At 38.9% G+C, this 16,449-nt stretch overlaps 1 protein-coding gene and 1 pseudogene across 1 annotated transcript in view, besides 2 other annotated features; one reads left to right on the top strand and one right to left on the bottom strand.

Moving 5' to 3' along the window:
* Window positions 1-16,449, bottom strand: part of HYAL4 (hyaluronidase 4) — a 113,774-nt gene that overhangs the window by 77,747 nt on the left and 19,578 nt on the right. The window contains exon 2 of the mRNA XM_047420093.1: window positions 12,309-12,401. The gene's annotated coding sequence lies outside the window, so the exon portion shown is untranslated. The remainder of the gene's footprint in view (window positions 1-12,308; window positions 12,402-16,449) is intronic.
* Window positions 727-1,248: an enhancer, noted in NCBI's record as "H3K27ac hESC enhancer chr7:123438541-123439062 (GRCh37/hg19 assembly coordinates)". NCBI's record gives its function as "activates a minimal SCP1, AML or CMV promoter by ChIP-STARR-seq in primed H9 embryonic stem cells {active_cell/tissue: H9 hESC(primed)}" and the evidence as "EXISTENCE:reporter gene assay evidence [ECO:0000049][PMID:30033119]".
* Window positions 1,249-1,770: an enhancer, noted in NCBI's record as "OCT4-NANOG-H3K27ac hESC enhancer chr7:123438019-123438540 (GRCh37/hg19 assembly coordinates)". NCBI's record gives its function as "activates a minimal SCP1, AML or CMV promoter by ChIP-STARR-seq in primed H9 embryonic stem cells {active_cell/tissue: H9 hESC(primed)}" and the evidence as "EXISTENCE:reporter gene assay evidence [ECO:0000049][PMID:30033119]".
* RNU6-11P (RNA, U6 small nuclear 11, pseudogene) lies at window positions 9,024-9,128 on the top strand (annotated as a pseudogene).

Here is a 16,449-nt window from a genome sequence, read left to right as displayed (position 1 = left end):
AAAAAGAACAAGAAACATGGAACCAAAATGAGTAAATGAAAAATTATTAACAAAAATGTTAGCAAAATGTTGCTAACATTTAAATTTATATATATTTTTTGTATTTTTAGTAGAGACAGGGTTTTACCATGTTGCCCAGGCTGGTCTTGAACTCCTGACCTCAGGAGATTCACACCCCTTGGCCTCCCAAAGTGCTGGGATTACAGGCATGTGCCACTGTGCCCAGCCTCAGTGTAATTTCAAAATAAATTTTATTTTGAAATTATAAATTTATAATTTATAATTTAATTTTATTTTATAATTTTATAAATTTATAAATTACCTTTATAAAATACCTTCCATAGTATTATATTTTCAAAAAGATTAGAAAAATGAGCCTGCTGATAAAAGAGTAGGGAACTGAAAATATTGGCTTAAAAGGAGCTATGAAATTAATTTTTTTCTGATTGTATTTTAACCAGAAAATTAAAGGGAAATCTACAATAAAGAAATAATGTCTTTACATAAGGAGAAGAAAGAGAGGAAAATACATTAAATGTGAATCCGTCAGAGAGAAATGACATTACTTTATCAATACTAAAAGAGTTTGTAATGAGTCTACTGATATATACAGTGAACTCTGATAAATGTGGATGCCCTGAATTATTTAATAGCCTCTTACAAGTTTCCCTGCTTGTATGATTGCCCCCTTCAGTCTAGTTGCAAGCGTAGTGTTCTCTTAAAATCTTAAGTCAGATCATGGCACTCCTCTGCTCAAAGCTCTTCAATGGCTCCCCATTTCCTTCAAGGCTCTATCTAATCTGATCACAGTTACTTCTCTTACTTCCTTTCCTATTTCCCTCCCCTAGACCATACTCTAGAGTAACAGAATTTTATGTTCCACACAGTCACTCAGCTGCCACCATCTTGTAGCTGCTTCATCCTAAATATGCCACTTCCTTGGGTATTCTATTAAAGGGAAAGAGAAACGAGAAATCTGCATGGACTTTTCACTACCTCAGTCTGGAAAGGACACACTTATATCCACAAACATTCTATTAGTCAGAACTTGTCCTATCCACTCATTTAATTGCAAGAATGCCACGAAGGGAGTAAATGGCATGTTTGATCTGTTTCTGTCAGCCCCGTGAACGTGATTGACACACCCAACCACCTGTCCCACTCCTAGTTTCAGCTTCGTCTTTCCTAAGGTTGCTTTTAAGCTCATGATAATATGATTATCCATTTTTAGAGATGGCTTTACATTTTGTGGTTTGAAAAGGATAGTGCAAGATCTTTATAAGTCTTTATTTAGGGCTAAATTATGGTTCTAAGATCATTGTAGGTAATCTCTCTCTCTCTCTCTTTAAATGAAGCAGTGTTTATGGGATGAAGGAACACACCTACTCTTTCCCTTATTAAGAATAAAGCACTGAGCAAGTAGAAGGGTGGAGGCTCTGATAATTGCATAGTTTCTATAACCACAACTGACCTGTAATCACTTGACCTTACTTCTGGCTTAAATACACAAGAGTGACTTTAAACATCTGAGTGTGTTGCAACTAGCTCTGTAACTACCGCTGACAGGTGTCCAATTACAAAATTCCTATTGCATTACAGAGTCTTGAATAACAGAAAGTTGCCAATTTGAATATCAACACAGGGTACTTAAAACAATATAAAAATTTCCTTCAGAAGCCAGGCCACATCTTTAGGAAATGTAAGGAAGTAGCACCCTCTGGTGGGTAAAATAAAAGGAAAATTTGTGGACTTGCTTATTGAGGAATCTATAATTGTGGGCACTTTTTAAAATTATTATTATTGCCATAGGTGTAATTAAGTTTTCAAATATAAGCTTTTTGAGAATTTGGAATTGAGTCCTGGGGAACAAAATGCTTTTCTTAGAAAACATTGATAAAGAGAAAGTGCATGACTTTGCAAATTGCCATTTTTGATTGATAGCTACTTGTATGAATTCCAGGCGAGTTAAAGCAGAGTCTAGTAATGATGAGAAGGTTACTTATAACCTGAGACTATTATCTTCAAAGAGCCATGTGCCTTAGTAATTTAAAAAAGTTTACATATGCTAGGCCCAGGCCTTAGTGTGGGCCTCCAATCTCCAATTTACTTAGTACTTATCAGCAGAGGCCAACAGGGGCCCTTTTTCATATCTACTTGATTTATTTGTTAGCCAATTTCAGAAATAATAGTTTTTATTTTTGTTTTGTTTTTGCAAAGGCAAGAAAAATAAGTTTTTGGCTTTTCAGCTTTCAAGTATCTGGGTCCCATTTACTTAGCTGACATTTTTCTCAGAATTTTAACGTTGCTTCCTTGAGCAATTAAGTTTGGAGTTTTATTTGACTAAAAGGTTACTTAGTTCAACAGAGCAGCAATGTGATGGACCTGTTCTGGAATTTTACCCTGACACTTTATTATAGCTTTTTCTGTGATGTTCAGTAGCAATGAGAGAATAGAAGACCTTTTCTATAAAAAGAGAAGGGTACATGAATAGTCATAGCAAATAGATGCTAAAACTTCATAGAACCTGTTACTCATCCATTTACGATTGAGTCTCATTAAGCCAGGCTTCTTTTTAACCTTTTACCTTAAGGATACTTTTTACCTGACTTTGCCCCCATATGAATACCAAAACCACATGTATTTTATAGTATGTGAATATATACAGCAAGAAGTCCTAGTCAGTAGGCTTCTGTGATCAAGAAAGATGGGCATAGCCCAGAAATTGAGAGCACAGACTCTTGATCCAGATCCTGACTTTTTTTTTGAGATCTTGTTTCCCCCTTAGCTATCACCTCCCTACTTACAAGAAACCACCAATCTATTTTCTATCTTCATAGATTTGCCTATCTTGGACATTGTATATGAATGGAATCATACAATATGTGGTCTTTTCTGACTGGCTTCTTTCACTTGATATAATATTTTCAAGGTTTATCCATGCTGTAGTATGTAATATGTATTGGCACTTCATTCTTTTTCATGGCTGAATAATATTCCATTGTATATATATACTACATTCTGTTGATCCATTCATCTGTTGGTGGACATTTGGGTTATTTCTACCTTTTGGCTATTATGAATACTGCTGCTATAAACATTAGTGTACAAGTTTTTATGTGGACACGTTTTCACTTATCTTGGACATGTACCTAGAAGTGGAACTACTAGGTCATATGGTAATTCTGTGTGTCAACAGACTGCCTGATTTTTAGGCCTAGTTCTGTTGTTGCTTGCTCTGTTGTCTTGGGCAAATTATGCCTCAGTTTTTTAATCTATAAATAGAACTGATAGCATCTCATATAGTTGATTTAAAGATTAAATAATTACAACTTGAAAGGCTAATAGTATACTTATAAACACCACGTAAATGTTTCTTTAAAAACATTTTTTTTCCAGATTCTCTTCTTTAAAGATTTTGAGAGAATCCCTAAATCCAAGTGACAGAAGGAATTGTCTCAGGTTTGGCCAGGTCTGGATGACTCTTCCTATGAGGCTCCACAGTTGTCTGTTCCCATGATGTCTAATCCATGCTGTTCTGTGTTTGAATTGTTGCTTGGTGCCTTCAGTGCCTTCTGGGGATTTGCAAATAGTGCTTATTCTTTGCATTGGCAAAAGTTCAAAGTTCACCTAAATACAAGCTTTACAGAGGCTTCATTTCCCTGCAATATAGTTTGCAAACAATTGGATTCCTGCCTTCTCATAAACCCTGAGGAAGGTTTTTGTTTATTTGGTTCACCCTATACTCTTAAACGAAGCATCTTATCCTATGTGTCTCTGTCAAACAGTACTCAAGGAACCAGTTTTATTCTGCTCCATTGGGGTAAGAATCTTTCACATGTTGGGTCCAAGCTATATGGATCCAACCATGATGCAGTACTGTGACTCTTCCTCTTCCTTGGTAACTAAACTAGTAGCATTTCTTATCAACCCAGTCATACTTACAACTTCATATGTTTCATTGATAGTATATTAGTCTGTTCTCATGCTGCTAGTAAAGACATACCCAAGACTGGGTAATTTATAAAGGAAAGAGGTTCAATTGACTTAAGTTCAGCATGGCTTGGGAGGCCTCAGGAAACTTACAATCATGGCAGAAGGGGAAGCAAACACATCCTTCTTCACAGGGTGGCAACAAGAAGTGTTGATCAAAAGGGGGGAAAGCCCCTTATAAAACCATCAGATCTTGTGAGAACTCACTATCATGAGAAGAACTTGAGAAAACACCCCATGACTAAATTACCTCCCATCGGAACCCTCCCATGACACATGAGGATTATGGGAACTACAATTCAACATGAGATTTGGATGAGGACACAGCCAAACCATATTATTCCACTCCTGGCCCCTCCCAAATCTCATGTCTTTGCATTTTAAAACACAATCATGCCCTTCCAACAGTTTCCCAAAGTCTTAACTCATTCTAACAATAACTCAAAAGTCCAAGTCCAAAGTCTCATCTGAGACAAGCAAGTCCCTTCTGCTTAAGAGCCTGTAAAATCAAAAGTAAGTTAGTTACTTCCTAGATACAATGGGGGTACAGGCATTGGGTAAATACACCCATTCCAAATGGAAGAAATTGGTGAAAACTAAGGGGTTACAGGCTGCATGCAAGTCCAATATCCAGTAGGGCAGTTATTAAACCTTAAAGTTAAAAAATTATCTCCTTTGACTCCATGTCTCACATCCAGCGCATGCTGATGCAACAGGTGGGCTCCCATGGCCTTGGGCAGCTTAGCCCCTGTGGCTTTGCAGGGTACAGCTCCACTCTTGGGTGCCTTCAGGGGCTGGCATTAAGTCTCTGTGGCCTTTCCAGGCACACAGTGCAAGCTATCAGTGGATCTACCTATTCTGGGGTCAGGAGGACAGTGGCCCTCTTCTCACAGCTTCACCAGGCAGAACCACACTAGGGACTATGTGTGACAGCTCTGACCCCACATTTCCCTTTTGCATTGCCCTAGCAGAGGTTCTGCATGAGGGTTTCATCCCTGCAGCAAACTTCTACCTGGACATCCAGGTGTTTCCGTACATCCTCTGAAATCTAGGCAGAGGTTTCCAAATCTCAGTTCTTGACTTCTGCGCACCCACAGGCTCAAAACCACATGTAAGCTGCCAAGGCTTGGGACTTATGTTCTCTGAAGCAACAGCCTGAGCTGTACATTGGCCCCTCTTAGACATGGCTGGAGCTGAAGCAGCTGGGACTCAGGGTACCATGTCTCAAGGCGCATAGAGCAGAGGGGGTCAGGGGATGGGCCTGGCCCAGGAAACAATTTTTCCCTCCTAGGCCTCCAGGCCTGTGATGGGAGGGGCTGCCACAAAGGTCTCGACATGCCCTGAAGACATTTTCCCCATTGTCTTGGTGATTATCATTCACCTCTTGTTACTTATGCCAATTTCTACAGCTGGCTTGAATTTCTCTACAGAAAATGGGTTTTCCTTTTCTATCAGATTGTCAGTCTGCAAATTTTTCAAACTTTTATGCTCTGCTTTCTCTTGAACACTTTGCCACTTAGATGGTTCTTCCACCAGATACCCTAAATCATCTCTCTCAAGTTCAAAGTTCCACAGTTCTCTAGGGCAGAGGCAAAGTGCCATCAGTCTTTTTGCTAAAGTGTAACAGTCACCTTTGCTCCAGTTCCCAAAAAGTTCCCCATCTCCATCTGAGACCACCTCAGCCTGGACTTTGTTGTCCACATCATGATCAGCACTTTGGTCAAAACTATTCAACAAGTTTCTAGGAAATTCCAAACTTTCTCACATCTTCCTGCCTTCTGTGCCCTCCAAGTCTCTAGGAAGTTCCAAACTTTTCCAAATTTTCCTGTCTTCTTCTGAGCCCTCCAAATGGTTCCAACCTCTGCCTGTTACCCAGTTCCAAAGTCGCTTCCACATTTTGGGGTATCTTTACAGCAGCACCCCACTCTCTGTGGTGCTAATTTACTGTATTAGTCCATTCTCATGTTGCTAATAAAGTCATACCTGAGACTGGATAATTTATAAAGAAAAGAGATTTAATTGATTCACAGTTCAGCATGGCTGGGGAAGCTTCAGGAAACTTACAATCATGGGGGAAGGGGAAGCAAACACATCCTTCTTTACAGGGTAGCAACAAGAAGTGCCTAGCAAAAGTGGGAAAGTCGCTTATAAAGCTATCAGATCTCGTGAGAACTCACTATCATGAAAAGAGTATGAGGCTAACGGCCCCCATGATTAAATTATTTTCCACCAGGTCCCTCCCATGATATCTAGGGATTATGGAAACAACAATTCAAGATAAGATTTGGGTGGGGACACAGCAAAACCATATCAGATAGTAATCTCCCAAGTCCTGAGATGTTCTATATAATAACATGACCCAGACAACTTTGGGTCTCAGATTTTATCACTGTAAAACAGTTAGGCATAAGGGTAAAATATTTAGAGACAACTGTCTAGCAAATACTTCAAATTGTTCTTAAGCAAAGAAGGCAAAATAAGTAGCTTATTGTGTGGCAAGCACTAGTTGCTTTAAGGAATATTTTGGACCAGATCAAGTTTGGAGCATGGCATGAGACCCTCTGTACATCCTGGATAGCACAGCTTCCTGTTATACAAAGTTCCAAAGCTTCTTGACCATCACAGAATGTTTTGAAACACCACAACTGATGCTCAGACACATACCTTGTTTTGCATGGTCTTAGGATAGCTGTAGAAGAGAGCTCAATCCTGGTCCACCAACTGTGTTAAGGCATCCACACACCAGTCTAGGGGACTGGGATCCCCTGAAAAAGGCTGGCCCGAAGGGACCTCAGAGCCTATGAGAGGAGGTCTGGAAGAGCAGGCTGAACTGGTAGCCTGCCTGAATGTCAGAGGAGCAGTGGACCATGGTAGGAGGGAGCTTGACCTTACCTGATATTACTCCCTTCCCCCTGAGCATCAATGTGTTATGACAGTAGAAGGCTAGGATGTCAGTTACATCTGTTTCTAGGGCCCTAACTCTTCTGTGAAAAACGTCTCTGATCATGAGACTCTAAGGGAGTTTTCCTACCAGTCAGAGAGGGAGAAAAGCAAGAGATCAGCAGTCTGGGGATGAGACAGGGCATGAGAATAAAGGAAATTGTGGGCAAACCTCACCCATGGGACCTCCCAGACAGAATAAATTAACAGGAGGGGCTTCTACTAAAAGACCCAGTCAAGCAGGTGTGGGCTCCAAGCCTTGAGATTTGGACTATTATTATATATGTGACTATTTGTATGCCCTGGCAGATAAAGCTACAGCTATCTGTGTTCAGTGCATTTAACCTTCACAATTAATTTTACAGAAGAAAAACTGAACCTCAGCAAGGTAATTTACCTAAGTGCAAAGAGATAAGAGGCAAAGCCAGGAATCAGAACCAGAGCTGTCTGACTCCAAAAGCCAGGCTCTTACTTCCACAACTTAAGGCATCTCAAGAGGTGGAAGATTCAGTGGAGCATAACCAATAAATACGTACCGTGTTCTAAATAATGATAAAAAGCAAACTAATGTGAGCAGTTTCTATGTGCTATGTGATCTGCCTGTGTAACAGTGTGACTTCCTGAAGAATTTATTGATACCTTGATTTTTTTCCCCCTATTTTCTTCTCATCAGTGAAACAATGAGGTCAGGGCTCTATGCCCTTGAGGTCTAGAGTTCCCTTGTCCTCAGAGTGAGAGTTCATAGGGCTCATTTCAAAGCTCTCAGCCAATGAAGAAATTAAACTGGACTGTCCCAAAGAAGATGAAAATAGAGGCTTTGGGAGATTGGCCCAACCTTGCAGTTGGTTTCACAGATGCAAACATTGGGAGAATTGTGAATTTCTTCACGTGCTTGGACTTGGCATTCTGGAGGTTACAAGTCCTTGTATGGGAACAGGTGTTTGGAACAGATGAGAATTGGCCATTAAATGCTATGTCTTGAGCATCTTTTTAAGACATTTGTGACTAAGCAGTCAGCAGAGAGGAATTTTGAGGAAGTTTTGGGCCAGCTCACCCAAGGAGGCCGTCTCCAGTGCATGGCAAAGAAACCATGCTCAACTACTGTTGAACATTTGGAAGACTGAGCTGCCATCCATGTCTGTGAAGGTTGTATACAAAATGGCCCTGTGCACAGCACCCAAGTGGAGCCAAGGGGTAAATGGCTATCCCTGTGGACCAAGAACCAGGCCCTTCCCCTTTTCCTGGGAATATGTAAGCCCCAGGGTTTTTGTAAATTCCAGTGAGGATAACCCCAATTAATCACTGATATTGAGCTTATCATTGACCCTGATAAGTTATGATTTGGAGATGGCTTTATTTAGAAAATAAAGAAGCATACCATCTCTTGTATCTTGAGTGTAAAGAAGCTATTCATAACTTTACACAGACAATAAATCATTTTCTATTTACATGATGAATTACTGAAGTTCTATTATCATTCTCTTTTTACAGATAAAGAAATTAGAACTTAAAGTTGAACAACATGCCCATGTTGACATGACTCATAAGCCCTTTTAAATATAAGGAATTCAGGCCTTTCGGACTTCCCAGCTTTATGAAAAACACTGTGGCACCATTCTACATGCTGTGAAAACTAATTCAAGGAGCCTGTCACCACAAGCTGCATAAACAAATCGTTACCAGCATAAACAGAATATATAGCAGAATTTATTCTTCGAAAAAAATACTTACTGATATTCAGGCCAGGCACAGTGGCTCCTGACTGTAATCCCAGCAATTTGGGAGGCCGAGGCGGGTGGATCACCTGAGGTCAGGAGTTCAAGACCAGCCTGGCTAACATGGCAAAATCCTGTCTCTACTAAAAATACAAAAATTAGCCGAGTGTGGTGGTGGGTGCCTGTAATCCCAGCTACTTGGGAGGCTGAGGCAGGAGAATCGCTTGAACTCGGGGGGCAGCGGTTGCAGTGAGCCAAGGTCATGCCACTTCACTCCAGCCGGGGTGAAAGAGCAAAACTCCATCTTAAAAAAAAAATTACTCATATTCAATTATATGTAGTACATAATATGGTTGGCCATAAAAAGGCATGTCTTTGGTGCTCGCTTCGGCAGCACATATACTAAAATTGGAACGATACAGAGAAGATTAGCATGGCCCCTGCGCAAGGATGACACGCAAATTCGTGAAGCGTTCCATATTTAAAAAAAAAAAAAAAAAAAAGGCATGTCTTTGAATTTAGTTGGATAGATAGAATATATATCCATAAAGGTACTTTGCACTAAGTTTCAAGAGAGCGTTACAGATAATGAATGCTATAGAAATTTGGGTTGGCACTAGTAGATGGCACAACAGAAAGAACACTAGATAATGAATCTGAAGACATCAGTTCTAACTCTAACATCAGCTGTGCCACTTCTAGTTCCCTAAACTTCCAGATTATTAATCTCTCTGTGCCTCAGATTTGTCATTTAGAAACTGTTTATAATAATATGCTACCTTCTTTTCTCACAGGATTTTTAATGATTATATATGCAAAAACATTTATAAAACATAATGAGCTGTGTAAGCAAAGGAAAGACTTTACTGTTTCCCCTGTTTTCATTACTGCCATGTCTTCATGATTCATGACAGCTCTGACGGTCAATTTCATGTGTCAACTTGAATTGGCTAATGTGGGTGGGCAACTAATCAGTAGAAGGCCTTAAGAGAAAAGACTGAGGTTTCCCCCGCCTCAAAGAAGAAATTCTGCCTCCAAATTGCATCAGACTCAAGACTGTGAGATAAACACCTGCCAGAATTTTCCCTACCTAACAGCCCTTCAAATTTCAGACTTGCCAGCCCCCATAATTGTGTGATTCAATTCCTTACAATCTCTCTCTCTCTCTGGCTCACTCATTCTCTCTCTGGCTCACTCATTCTCACTCTCGCTCTGGCTCTCAATCTCTCTGTCCAACAAATAGGATATATATACACACACACACATACACATACATATTTGTGTTTGTACTTATGTGTATATGGATATATATACATACATATATGTATTCATGTATACGTCCTATTGGTTCTATTTCTCAGGAGAACTCTGACTAATCCAATAGCTGAGCTAACAGCTTACTTTGACAAGAAAAATGTGGAAAACAATTAAAAGGACTTCAGAAAGTACTATTTTACTCTCAATATATTTTCTGTTGGTCATTTTTGAATATTTATGAAGTAGCAAATAACAGAGCATATGTTTCATAATTATACCTTTCATTATTTCAATGAAATATGCACATTTTATATACCCAAGCAGGAAATACAATGACACATGACTATTCACTATTGTTTGAAGCAGTTGATTTGCCTCTCCTGGTCAGAGTGTATGTCATTGTTCAAGGTGTTCCTTGCATCATGTTACCTCCCTCCCCAGTCAGCCCTTGTCCAAATGGATTATAGTCCATTCTCTAAGGCATAGTTCAATGACCCTTCTAAGCTGACCCTTCTAAGCTGAAATGCTCAATTCCTCTAGCTGAAAATGGTCACTACCGCTCCTAAACTCCATTCGTCTTATACTATTTATCACTTCACGTCCTAAATTATAGTTATTTGTGTGTTTGTGTTGTTTCCACCTCTAGAAATAACAATCTTCTTGAGAGTAGCATTTACTGATAAATCATAGCTTTTATCAGAGCCCACTGTGGCTCCTGGTGAAGATGTCTTCATAAATATGTGCTGGATAAATACACCTTCATGGGTCATTTCAGTCTCCAGAATTCAATCTCTTCTCTCTAATTTGTGCCATAACAAGTCCTATAAGTAATTTCTATCAGAGTGACTGTAATCTTTAATGCATGGTGGTGGTCTCGTGGTGAATATTTATTAGATAGAGAAAGGATGAAAAGCAGCAGCATGGGGCTTTAGCTATCTAAAGAACAGGCTTGAAAATTGGCTTACAATTACATTTTTAATGAAGGAATTTTACGAACAGAGGTAGTAAAATAGCACAGGTTTTGAAGTGTACACTGATAACTGCACAGTAACCAAGGTACTTCCTTGTTCTCACATGAAATGTTCTTGCTATTTGTCAGTGATATAAACTAACTGCTAAATATGTAACAAAAGCAAAGTACAAGTGTCTGTGTACCCATCAAATATTTTACTTTCAAAAATATTCCTGTACCCTCCATGAACAGTGTGTACTTTTCATCTAAATTCAGAACACTTTAGTAACTTCACAATATGTGAAGAGACACAGTGGTACAAAGAGATAGAATGACTTCTCAGGGGTTAAAAGCAGAGCTGAGATCTATTTTAGATCTCAGAATTTTAAAATTTCAATTTAGCATATTTGATAACCAATATTCCTTGTTCATTTGGGAGCAAATTTATCAAGATGTTATGGTTGAAGAACAGAGATTTGTCCTTGAATTCTATTCAACTAGTTTCATATTTTAATGCATCTAAAAGTTTCTAAGACCAGAATTATTCTAGAAGACACAAATAGTAACTGACAATACATTCAGTTCATTGAGCATTTTTTTCTGAGACAAGATCTCACTATGTTGTCCAGGCTGGGCTCAAGCATTCCTCCCACCTCAGCTTCCCAAGTAGCTCAGACTATAGGTGTGTGCCACCAGGCCCAGCTTAATTTTTAAAATTTTATCTTAGTAGAGATGAGGTCTCACTGTGTTGCCCAGGCTAGTCTCGAACTCCAGGGCTCAAGTGATCCTCCTGCCTTGGCTGCACAAAGTGCTGGGATTACAGACATGAGCCACCTCTCCTGGCCACTGAGCCAATATTTATTGGCTGATAACATGTACTATGTTGAGTGCCGAAGACCCATTTATAAAGAAACAAAGCTCTTATCCTCAAGACCCATGTCTATTGAGAGGGGATGGGCACACAACAAACCAACTGGTAAGTTGTGTTTGTTGCTTAATGCTATTTTTGGATTTCCCTGCTGTTGACTCACCATGGTTAAAAAAATTATCTCTTTTTCTGTTTTTCATCCAAAGAGATGAAGTTTGCTGTCACTGCAATTGCCCCTCCTCCTCTCAATAAACACACACTGAACTCTTAGGGACAAAATTAAACTGTTTGGGATTCAGACGCATTAAGGAAGATTATGCTTCCTCAATCCACTACTCAGAAGGTGAGGTTATTGTTTGAAATTGATGATGGGGTTGACTGGGCCATAGAGAGGATTTCCTAAGGCGGGTAGGGACTTGGGTCTTATTCCCAGTCAGAATCCCAATAGGTGGTAGGACTGCTGATAAGACATGCATATAAATGGCTGGTGACTCAATACTGCCATGGCCTTGCAAGCTTTGGAGAAGGCTGCTAGGGCTGAGTTGAGCATGGAGGAGGACACTTCACAAGAAGCAGGGCAGCCTACCTTCAAACAGGCCACATGGGCTTGAGCAATGGGCATGACATTAGGCAACTGGAGTGAACTCAAGCTAAGAATCCTTTCCTCTCCTCAGCTGACCTGTCACAGAAAAAAAAAAAATTTAAAATGTAAAAGAATCTTTTCTTTCATGACAACATGGGATAACTATATAATGCCCCAGGGAATCTTGAGCAATGCTAAGGAAGGGCCCTCTAGTAAATCATAGTCATGTTTACAAGGAAGTTCAGAGTGAGATACATTTTGATTTTTCAAAATAAAGTAATGCAGCTTTTTTTTTCTTTTTCTTTTTTTTTTTTTTTTTTTTGAGACAGAGTTTTGCTCTTGTTGCCCAGGCTGGAGTGCAATGGTGCAATCTCAGCTCACTGCAACCTCTGCCTCCTGGTTCAAGCGATTCTCCTGCCTCAGCCTACCAAGTAGCGGTGATTACAGGTGCCCTCCACCATGCCCGGCTAATTTTTGTATTTTTAGTAGAGACGGGTTTTTGCCACGTAAGCCAGGCTGGTCTTGAACTCCTTATCTCAGGTTATCTGCCCGCCTCAGCTTCTCAAAGTGCTGGGATTACAGGCATGAGCCACCGCGCCCAGTTAATAATGCAGACTTTATTCACCCAAGTCTCATGAACCAAATTCATACCCTTTACAGTTTAGATAGATGAAAGATAGATAGATAGATAGATAGATAGATAGATAGATAGATAGCATGTGATACATACCAAAATAGAGAATGTATTATGTGCTAAGGTTGCAACACAATTGTGGCAGACAAAGCAACTACCCCATTTACTAGATTTTAAAACTTGTTTGATTACTTTAATGTTTCCCCATTGGAACATGTCTTAAAACTGATGCATACTTTTAATATTCTATTTGTTTGGCTCTGATTTTCAAAAAAAAAAAATAAAGCTGATGTTCTAGAATCAAGGAGTCATTGTAATTCCCTGTAGGGAAATAACAGAGAAAAGAAGGTATCATAGATGAATTGATTTTTCAAATGGGTCAAAAGATAAGTAGTGAACAAAGTGGAGTAAGGATAGTATGTGTGGAGGTGGAAATATGTAGAAAAATCATAGTGAGTGCAAGCAAACCTCAGCATCATTGGCAACCAAGTGATTTGACACCTCTTTCACCCCAAACTACTTTTTGAGCACTTATGTAGAGTGTGAAAAATTATATTAATAAAAAGTTGTACATAAAAACAAATTTTTTTACTGATTGACTTCTGCTTAAAGCACAGTCTGTATTTTCAAAAAATGTGACCACTTAGTTGGAAGCATATTCAGAGATTAAAATTTTAAATTAAAAGGTGAATCATGTCCCTATTAAGCAGTATTATGGCCTGCATTTTGGACCTTGGGATTTTGGCTATTTGTAACTGCTTGTGTGCAAGAACGCTCAGAAAAGAGAGGTGATTCTAGCAAGGAGTTGTAGTTGTTTGTTTTGTTTTGTTTTGTTTTGTTTTGTTTTGTTTTCTTGTTTCTACTGAAGGGCTTGCTTCTTTTGCCAGGAAAGGAAATGTAAATTTACATTTTGCCTAGGATAGCAAATCAAAGCCTGCATTATCTGGCAACATATTTTCAATGTAATCCAGGGCTGGGTAGCATTTTTATAGGTTGGCACTCAACTGAGGCTGTCCATGTGTCCCATGCCTTAATCCAGCTCTGAGTTCAAAGAACTTAAAGAAGCAAAAGGGAAGTAAAAATGTGTTTGTGGAAGGGATGGGAGATGAAGGAGTACAGCAGAGTGCAGCACATTATTATTTTCATGAAATACGTGGCATATACAATCTCTTTTGATCACTTCTTTACAATATATGTATCATCATCCCCATTCTTAAAGATGGTGAAACTGGGACTAAGAAAGTTAACTTGCCTTAGACAAGGTTAATCAAGTAGTAAATAAGTAGAACATTGAGTGCAGCCCTTCTGAATCTCAACTCATGGACTGCCCACTGCCTCATATAACAGGTAGAGTGGCTAGCTAGCCAAGTGAGACATGTTTTATTTGTTTAAAGAAATCCAAATACTTAGGTCCAGCACAGTGGCTTACGCCTGTAATCCCAGCACTTTAGGAAGCCAAGGTGGGAGAACCACTTGAGCCCCAAAGTTTGAGGCCAACCTGGGCAACATAGGGAGACATTTTCTCTACAGATAATAAAAAAAAATAACCAGGCGTGGTGGCGTGCACCTGTAGTCCCAGCTACTTGGGAGGCTGAGGCCAGAGGATCATTTAAACACAGGATGCAGAGGCTGCAGCCTGGAAAGTGGAGGCTGCAGTGAACCGTGATCATGCCACTGCACTCTAGCCCGGTGACAGAGAGAGACCCTGTCTCAAAAAATATATATGTACTTAATTTTTCAATAATTGTTTATGGTACAAGTGTCAAGGCAAATGGAAGAATGAAAATAAATTATCCAGCTGGTTTTGATCAGAAAAACACCACTTCTCTCTTTGTTACACTCAACATACAACTCCCTAACACAGTAGCAGGATTCTAGTTGCTAGTTCTAGAGGTCACACAGCTTGATACCTGACTTACTCTAAGATATGTACAGTAACAAAAGCAACAACCACATAATCCAACCTGCGACTACCAAGGTCCTTCCCACATCCTGGAAGGCTCCTTGTTTTCAGTGGAATTGGTAGTGGTGGTGAAAACTAGCAAATTCAAATAAAAGCAGATGTGGTTTGTTTAGCTCTTTATAGAGTTAAGGTAAGCAAATTTATTTGTAGCAAAACACACACAATGAAAGTCCTTTGAGAAAAACATTGCTAAATAAAGTTACTGCAACACTGTGGATTTTTAACCAGAAAGTAATTCCCTGGTAATCAGTTTTGAATGCTGACAAGCTTGTTTTCTTCCTGGTTTCCTATTTCTGACCTTCTCATTCCTTTCTTTAGCAACAGTAAGAATATTCCAAAATAATTCTTTCCAAGGACTCTGTGTCAGCAGCTGTGAAGCCTCTAAACTTCTGTTTTCCTTTGGCTGGTCATTAAGTGAGGTCAGTGTGAGGCTTATGTCACATTTTCTAGTTGTATTAAGCAACTTCTCAACTGGTGAAAAATGTAAAGTTCTAGATTATCAATATCTCAAGAGTTTTGAAAAACAATTATGATATTGCTATTATGCAGTATACAAAGTCTGTGCTAAATTTCTGACTAATATGTTTGTTAGACATAGTTTGAACTCACTTATCTAACACCTTATTTTAACAAATATACTGAAATTAAGGAGTTTCTTTTTAAATCAAGACTAGACGTACTTTAAAATACCAGGAAAATTATTTACTATACAGATGGGAAACTGAAGGATATTCAAACAACAGAATTAAACTCTCTTTTACACATATACTCTGTTGCTGTTACATGAACACACACGCATGTACACAGTGACTAAGTACTTTCTGGAGGAAGTTCTTGCTAAAATAGTAAGATTAGATTACAAACACATTTTATGACAATTATTTTATTGAAAGGGAGTGACCAAAAGCTATTTTATGTGGTGGTAACTTAGCATACTTTTATTTCTTTGGTAGACATTTAACACGCCAGTGAAATTTTCTCATCAGTCTTTTAAAGAGTTGGCTGTCCAATATTGAAGGGTACTCACCAATGACATAAAGTCTAGTCATTAAAATCATAGGTCGTTTCTTCATTCTCCTTAAATCATATTTAAACAGATTTTATGTTTGGTTCCCAATTTTTTTTTAAACTTATATTTGCCCCCCATCACCCTAACCTGTTCCCAGCAGCATGGAACATGGGCTTACATGGTCTCTACTGGAATTGTGCAAACAACTCTCTTGGCCTGAAAATACTTATACTCTCTGTGTGTCTGTCAGCATTTTAATTTTTTTCAAGGCTCTACTCACATAGGACCTCGTCAGTGAAATCCTTTTCAATGATTCTGGGGAGAACTGAGTAATTCCTTCTCTATGTTTTAATATCACTTCATTTATGTCTTGTTATATCACTTAACTATTAATTCTTAATACAATCATGTGTGTTCCACCACTAGATTAATTCTACTAACCTTCATAGACTGTTGATAATATGATGAGAAGTAGAAATGCAATTATGAAAACAACCAATCAATAAAAATTAGGGAAAAAAGTCCCAACATAGAGAAG

This window comes from Homo sapiens, chromosome 7 (genome assembly GCF_000001405.40).
Source record: "Homo sapiens chromosome 7, GRCh38.p14 Primary Assembly".
In the NCBI taxonomy this organism is placed as follows: Eukaryota; Metazoa; Chordata; class Mammalia; order Primates; family Hominidae; genus Homo; species Homo sapiens.
The sequence above is the reverse complement of the archived record's forward strand: the minus strand, read 5'-3'. Positions and strand labels throughout refer to the sequence as shown.